This window comes from Homo sapiens, chromosome X (genome assembly GCF_000001405.40).
Source record: "Homo sapiens chromosome X, GRCh38.p14 Primary Assembly".
Classification (NCBI taxonomy): Eukaryota; Metazoa; Chordata; class Mammalia; order Primates; family Hominidae; genus Homo; species Homo sapiens.
The window spans coordinates 144,872,546-144,881,567 of NC_000023.11; positions in this window are offsets into that span (position 1 = coordinate 144,872,546).

Genomic DNA, 9,022 nt, shown 5'->3' on the forward strand with positions numbered 1-9,022 from the left:
GGTTTGGTTAGTTTTTAAAGTCTTTTTCTCTTTTTTTTGGTCTGACTGAGTTAGTTCAGAGAACCAGTCTTTGAGCTCTGAGAGTCTTTCCTCTCCACCTATTCTGCTATTAATATTTGCAATTGCATTATGAATCTCTTGTAGTGTGTTTTTCAGCTCTCTCAGATCAGCTTGGTTCTTTCTGATAATGGCCATTTTATATCTCAGCTCCTGTATCACTTTATTATAATCTTTAGATTTCTTGAATTGGGGTTTGGCTTTCTCCTGAATGCCAATAATCTTTATTCCTATCCATATTCTGAATTATATTTCTGTCATTTCAGCCATTTCAGACTAGATAAGAAGCCCTACTGAGAAACTAGTGTGGTTGTTAGGCAGAAAGAAGACACTCTGGCTTTTTGATTTTTAGACTTCTTATGCTGGTTCTTTCTCATCTGTGTGGACTGATGTTCCTTTAACTGTGGTGTAATTTGAGTACAGCCAGTAGACTTCTTTTCTTGATGTTTTCAGCAGGCTGAGGCTTTCTGCAGGGTCTTTATTACTGGCTAAAGTTTTGTTTTTTGGTTTCACAGGGGGTTATATTAGCAAAGTACTTCTGGAATTGAAGTTTAGGCTGTGATCTACTAGATGGTAATTAAGTGTAATGGCCAGTAGGTAGGTTCTTGCTCAGTCATGTGGCTCTTCTGTATTTCCTCACGGTTGTAGCCATGCTTCCTCTCAGTGCTCTGAAAGTATAGGCTCCTCTCCCACTTGAATGCTGGCTTCAAATCTTGGCTTGGAATTCCTAGGCTACACACTCCAGCTCTGGGACTAGCTGAGGCTTTTTGTTGCCTCCCCCATTTGGAGGCAGCAGTGGAAGAGACCTTAGGACTGGTTGGGCAGAGGGCCTTTCACTTGTCTCTTGAGGCTCTACCTCAGAGAAATACAGCACTGCTATCAGTCAGTGCAATTATCCAGGATTGGGCAGCTGTGATGTAGTTCTAAGCCGGGGAGACTCTGCCTTGTAATAATCTGAGGGAGCAGGTGGGTCATGGGGGAGACACACTGGCCTCTTCTCCTTAGGGCATCTGCAGCTTGCCGGAAGTGTGGCTAAAGCACTCAGGGTCTTTGCTCCTTTCGTAGTTTGCAGAAGCAAAGGCAATACCACAGCAATGGCAATGGCAGAATCTCTGCCTTTTAATTAGTGTATTAGGACTATCATATTGAAGTCATTATTGATATATTTGAATTTATCAGTCATGTTTGTAACACCTTTTTTATTGCCGGAGAGTTTTTCTCCTTTTCTTTCTTTTTTTGTAAGATTATATCACTTTCTTTAGCAAGTCAATTATACATCTTTAAAATGTTAATAGTTGTTCCAGGGTTTAAAGTATACATTTTTAACTAATCTAATTCGATTTTCAAATAACATTAAACTGACTTATGTAGGCTAGGAACTTATAACTTCCATTATGAAGCTGCTGTAACTTATTTATTCACATGCAATAATCACCCAATACATCTCACAGTTATTACTTCAAACAATTGTCTTATAATCAATTAAAACAATAAAATATTTTATATTTATATATGTCTTCTCCGATACTCTTTATTTCTTTATGTAGATCCAAGTTTCTGTCTTATAATATTCTTGTTTTGCCTGTAGAAAATCTCTTAAGATTGCTTGCAGGGTAGTTCTGCTGGCAATTTTCTCAATTTTTGTTTGTCTGAAAAATGTCTTTATTTTCCTTCATTTTTGAAGAGTAATTTCATTAGATATAGAATTCTAGACTGGTATTTTTTTCAACATTTTAAATATTTTACTTCATCTGCAATTTATGTTTTCTGATGATAATTTTGTTAGAATTTTGATATATTTTCCTGTCTAGGTGTTTTGTTCTCTCTCTCTCTCTCTCTGGTTGTCTTTCTGGCTCTCTCTCTCCCCCTTCCTCCATGCCTTCTTCCATCCCTTTCTCTCTACCTTCTTTTAAGAATTTCTTATTTTTTATAGCTTAAAAATCACAACCCTAAGTGTAAATTGTTAGGCTATTTATTCTGGTTAGTGTTCTCTGAGTTTTATGGATTTGTAGTTTTGTACCATAATTAATTTTGGAAAGTACTCAGTCCTTATTAATTCTGCTTTGGTTTGTTTTTCCTTTCAAGATTTCAATTATATGTATGTTATAACATTTAAAAATGTCCCAAAGTTCTTGGATTTTCTATTCTGCACTTTTTTGAACATTTTTCCTTTATTTGCAAGTTTCTGTTTCAGCATCAAAATTGAATGTTTCTCTTGATGCATCCTCAAGTTCACTTTTTTTTTTTGGCTGTACTGATAAGCTCATCAAAAATGTTTTTCATTTTTTTTTCTTTTTGAGATGGAGTCTCACTGTGTAACCCAGGCTGGAGTGCAGTGGTACAATCTCGGCTGACTGCAAACTCCGCCTCCCAGGTTCAAGCGATTCTCCTGCCTCAGCCTCCTGAGTTGTTGGGATTACAGTCACCCGCCACCACGCCTGCCTAATTTTTGTATTTTCAGCAGAGACAGGGTTTTACCATGTTGACTAGGCTGGTCTCAAACCCCTGACCTCAGGTGATCTGCCCACCTCGGCTTCCCAAAGTGCTGGGATTACAGGCATGAGCCACCGTGCCCAGCCTGTTTTTTTTTTTTTTTTTTTCCATTTCTAACATTTTATTTTCTAAAGGTTGTGATTACATTATAGCTAACATTTTATAACATTTTATTTTGGTCTATTTTAGGATTTCTTTTTGCTTATATTACCTATATGTGCTTGCATTTTTTCTTATTTTTTCATTACAGTTCTTAAAACGTATATCAGAGTTATTTTTAATGATCTTTCTGATAATTTTACCATCAGTGTCATATATGAGTCTGATATTGATGCTTTCTTACTTTCTTCAGAATGTACTTTTTCTTGCCTTTCAGCATGCTTTGTAACTTTTTTGGTTGAAAGCTGGCCATGAAATTTCAGGTAAAGGGAACTGAGATAGATAAGCTGATAATGTGATATTGTATGTTAATCTAACTAGATGTTAAAGTTTCCTATACATGTAGGTGCCAGAGGCTTCAAATTTTTCCAATGGCATTTTTTCTTTCATCTTATTTGTTGTCTTTGGCTTTCTTAAAAATTCTTTCTCACAGAGATTCTGTGTTTTGCTACTCTTTCTGTTTCAATCTACTATTAAAGCTCTGTTGGTGTAGTGGTAAGGTATGGGGGTGGGAAAGCATTTCATTTATTATATGATTAAATCTCAATCTTTTAGTGGGCTATGACATTCAAAAATGTTATTTTAGAGTTTTCTACTATTAAGTAATACAGGATGCTGACTGGAGGGAAGGGGTGTAGCATGGGAAAATTTTCCTCCCCCAGTATGATAAGAATCTTTTCCCTTGCAGAGGAGGATTCTGTTGTAGAGAATGCCCTGAGCATTTCAGAATTTCTGAGTATTTCAGAATTACTGTTCTTTCTCTCCTCTGCAAGAGCCAGAAGGGACTCTTTCTCAGATATTTACCATGTGAACCTGGTGAAATTCTAAGAGGTGAAGCCCTATAAAATGTGGGGAACCCCTAAGAGTGTGGCCCCCAGCAGTATCTCACTGTCATACTACTCCACATTCAGCCCCCAGAAATTCATAATAATTATCATTTAAGTGTTTCTAACAGTTTATAGCTCCAGCAACTTTCTTGAGGTAAGTTTATCTTAGCTGTAACTCTATGGATTCACCTATCACTCCAGATTTTGGTGTAGAAGTTTGCCCTACAAGCTGTTATCTGATGGGTACAAGATAACTTATTTTCAGTTTGTTCAGTGTATTAGTCTGTTCTCACACTGCTAACAAAACCATACCCAAGACTGGGTAATTTATAAAGGAAAGAGGTTTAATTGACTCACAGTTCAGCATGGCTAGGGAGGCCTCACAATCATGGCAGAAGGCAAAGGAAAAGCAAAGTCACGTCTTACATGGCGGCAGGCAAGAGAGTGTGTGCAGGGGGACTCCCTTGTATAAAACCATCAGATCTCATGAGACTTAGTCACCATCATGAGAACAGCAAGGAAAAAATCTGCCCCCATGATTCAATTACCTCCCACTGGGTGCCTCCTACCACATGTGGGAATTATGGGAGCTACAATTCAAGATGAATTTTGGGTGGGGACACAGCCAAACCATATCATTCAGGTTTTTTTGCTCTTACAAGGATGAAAGTAGTGATGGTTTTCATTGTCCTTATTTGTAGGAACGATTAATAGAACCAGACGTCCCATGTTTGACCTTATGTATGTATCTATAATATCTGGCAAAGTGTCTTATGTATATAAGTTGATTAGTAAAAGTTACTGATTGAACTCTTAACCTGTTGGGAAGGAATATGGGCTATATAGTCAGCAGTACAGAAACAGGGTCACAATATGCTTACATTTTTAACAGCCTTAATGCTGAATCATTCACCCTAATATTTTCAACTAAATTTCACTGTTCCAGGTAATAATGGTTTCTGATTATGTCCTTTACTATTTTCTTTACAACTTTAACTCAAACCTAGAGTCTAACTCCCTACAATGCTGAGCTAATGTTGACCTTTCTTCTTTCCTTAAACATCATTGAAATTTTCTTGCTTGCTACAGTATCTTAGATACTTTTTGTACCCATTCACTAACCTCTACAAGCCTCAATCAATATTCTAACCAAAAAAAAGATAAGATTGCTGAGAGCCTGACTCTACAAATAGCTCTTCTAGGTAATATTAGGTAATATTTACTTACTTATTAATATTTCATCTTTTCAAGTGTAACTATAACATTTACTAAGATACATAATATCATGTATCATTTAAAAGTCACAATACATATATAAGGTTTAGGTCATATGAAGTATTTTCTCAGACCAGTATGGATTTAAAATAGAAATCAATAACAGATTTATATGGAAAATCTCCAGATGTTTAGAAATAAAGTACACAACTTTGAATAATACATAAGCCAATGAATAAATCATAAAAGTAAGTAGAAACTATTTTGAACTAAATAAAATGAAAATACAAATTATTAAATTCGATTGGGTACAGCTGAAACAGTGCTTAAAGGAAAATTTGTGGCAATAAACACTCTTATTAGTAAAGAAGAAAGGTTTCATATTGATGTAACTCAGCTATCACCTTAATATGCATAAAAATAAAAGCAAATTGAATCCAACATAAGCAAAAGAAAGGAAACAAAAAACATAAGAGCAGAAATTAATGAGATACAAAATAGAAAAACAATAAAGGAAAATCAATAAAATCCAAAGCCGATTCTTTAGGGAGATGAATCATATTGTTCAGAAAAATAAATTAGGAGAGAGAGACAGAGAGAGAGAAAGAGTAAATTACCAATGTCAGGAATAAGAGAAGGGATATAATTATATAATGGTACAGACATTAAAAGTATAATTATGAGGCTGGCCAAGATGGCTGACTAAGAAGTAGCTAGTGTGTGCCTCTCTCATGGGGAGAAATAGGAGGAACAAGTAAATACATCACCTTCAACTGAAACATCCAGGTACATATATTGGGATTCATCAAGAAACCAACTCAACCCACAAAGAATGGAGAAAAGCAAGGCAGAATGACCACCCACCCAGGAGCAACATGGAGCCCGGGGAGCCTCCCCAACCTAGGGAAGCAGAGAGTGAGTGAACGAACCTGGGGACCTACACTTCTCCCATAGATCTTTGCAACCCTCAGGTCAAGAGATCCCCTCATGAACCCACTCCATCAGGGCCTGCAGTCTGACTTGCAGAGCTACATGGAATCTCAGTGCAGCAGCCATTCAGGCCCATGTGGAGCCCTCAGAGCTTTATGTATCTGAGCTTCCTGGCAAAAGAAACTGCACCTTCAGCAGAGCAGGATGTTAGGCCACTGCACATACCCCCTAGGCAGGGGGATGAATCTAGGGGGCTGAGAAGCGACAGTCTATAGGCCCTGCTATGGCACATAGCAGGATAAGACCCACTGGCTTGGAACTCCAGCCAGCCACTGGTAGCAGTGTTACACCTTCCTGAGATGGAGCTCCCCGGGTGAGGGCAGGCTGCCATCCTTGCTGTTTCATGGCCTTAGCTGTTGTTTACTTCAGTGCAGCCACTCCTTTTTTTTTTTTTTTAACATAGTTCCATGAATCTGCTTCTCCTCACTATGCAGGACCTCACCACCAAGGTCACCAGGCACCCTCGCCAGTGTTTTACAGCTGGCAGTGCTTCTTAGCCTCTGTGAGATGGAACTTCCAAGGGAAGGGATGAGCCACCATCTTTGCTGTTTCACAGCCTTAGCCATTTTTACCTTCAGGCTCTACAGAGTCCAAGGCAACTAGGGACTGGAGCTATCCCCCAGCACCGTTCTGCAGCAGCTCTATGCAGAAGCAGCCAGTCTGCTTTTTCATGTGAATCCTTCATTTCTTTTCACTGGGTAGGATCTTCTATCTGAAGTTTACAACCAGCCCCACTGGTGTGTTCAGGCTGGCAACAGGTCAGTATCTCCCTGATGGACCTCCCAGAGGGAGGGGAATGCCACCATCTTTGCTGTTTTACAGGCTTCACTGTTGATAACTGCATGTTCTGGAGAATCCAAAGTGACTAGGGACTGGAGTGCAGCCCAGGAAATTGCAGCAGCCCTATGGAAAAGTGGCCACACTGTTTGTTACATGGGTTGTTAATTCATATCTCCTCAGTGGGTGGGTCCTCCTGGCATGAGTCTCCAGCCACACCCTGCTGGGGCTATCAAGCCAGTAGCAGCTCTGACATTCCCTGGTACAAAGTTCCCAGTGGAAGAGTGGGTTGCCATCTTTGCTACCTTGCAGCCATTGTCCTTGCCGTGGCCAGGCTCTGGAGGGTCCATGGTGACCAGGGGCTGGTCCAGATCTCCAGCACAGAGCACCCACCTCACAGAAAAGTAGTCAGGTTGTTCTCCATGCAGACCCTAGTCCACACTTCCCCTCATGGGGCAGGGATGCACAACCTGGGACTCTAGCACAACCACCCTGCTACCACCTGACCACTTCAATCAGAGGCAGCCCAGCAGTTACAGGAACAGCTACATGCAGATAAGTAAGAACCAACACAAGAACTCCAGCAACTCAAATGGCCAGAGTGTCTTATGTCCTCCAAACAACCACAGTAGTTCTCCCTTAACTGGGAAGAATTGGCTAAAATGACAGGACTACAATTCAGAATGTGGATAGGAATGAAGGTCATCAAGATTTAGAAGAACAGTAAAACCCAATCCAAGGAAACTAAGAATCATAATAAAATAATGCAGGAGTTTACAGATGATATAGCCAGTATAAAAAAGTACCTAACTGATCTGACAAAACTGAAAAACACACTACAAGAAGTTCACAATGCAATCACAAGTACTAAAAGGAGAATAGACCAAGCTAAGAATCTCAGAACTTGAAGACTAGCTTTCTTAAATGAGACAGCCATATTAAAATTAAAAAAAAAAGAATAAAAAGGAACGAATAAAATCTCTGAAAAATATGGGATTATGTAAAGAGGCCAAATCTACTAATCATTTACATCCCTGAAAGGGATGGAGAGAAAGCAAACAACTTGGAAAACATATTTCAGTATATCATCCATGAAAACCTCCCCAACCTTGGTAGAGAGGCCAGCAATCATACTCAGGAAATATCAAGAACCTCTGTAAGATTCTATACAAGATTATTGTCAAAATACATAATCATCAGAATTCCCAAGGTGAAAATGAGAAAAAGAATATTAAAGACAGCTAGACAGAAGGCGCAGGTCACCTACAAAGGGAACCCCATCAGGCTAACAATGGACTTCTCAGCAGAAACCCTATAAGCCAGAGAAGATTGGTGGTCTGTATTTAACATTTGTAAAGAAAAAAAATATTCAAACCAAAATTCTGTATGCAGTAAAATTAAGCTTCCTAACTAAAGGAGAAATAAGATCCCTTTCAGATAAACAAATACTAAGGGGGTGTTTTACCACCAGACCCACCTTACAAGAGATCTTGAAAGGAGCATTAAATATAGAAAGAAATAACCACTAGCAGCCAATACAAAAACACACTTCAATACTCAGACCATAGACACTATAAAGCAACCACAAAATCAAGACAGCATAATAATCAGCTAACAGTACAATGACAGAATCAAATCCACGCTTATCAATACTAACCTTGAATGTAAAGGGGCTAAATTCCCTATTTATAAGGCACACAGTGGCAAGCTGGATGAAAAGAAAGACCTAGTGGTAAGCTGTGTTCAAGAGACCCATTTCACATGCAATGACATCCATAGGCTCAAAATAAAAGGATGGGGGAAAATCTACCAAGCAAATGAAAATCAGAAAAAAAGCAGGAGTTGCAATCATAATTTCAGACAAAACAGACTTTAAACCTCAAAGATCAAAAATTACAAAGAAGGGCTATACTTAATGGTAAGTGGTTAAACTCAACAAAAAGACAAAACTATCCTAAATATACCTGCACCCAACACAAGAGCACAAGTTTATAAAGCAAGTTCTTAGAGACCTACAAAGAGACATAGGCTCCCACACAATAATAGTGGGAGACTTCGACATTCCACTGACAGTATTAGACACATCACTGAGGCAAAAATTTAACAAAGATATTCAGTAACTGAACTTGACATTTCATCAAATAGACATGAGACATCTACAGAACTCTCCAGACAAAAACAACAGAATATACATTCTACTCGTTGCCATATGGCACACACACTAAAATTGACCACACAATCAGAGAAAAAAACAATTCTCAGCAAATGAAAAAAAAATGAAATCATGCCAAACACACTCTTGTAGCACAGTGCAATAGAAATACACATCAAGGCTAAAAAAATTGCTTAACACCATACAATTACACGAAAATTAAACTACATGTTACTGAATGACTTTTGCATAAATAATGAAATTAAGGCAGAAATCAAGAAGTTTCTTGAAACTAATGAGAACAAAGATACAAAATACCAGAATCTCTGGGACACAGCTAAAGCAGTATTAA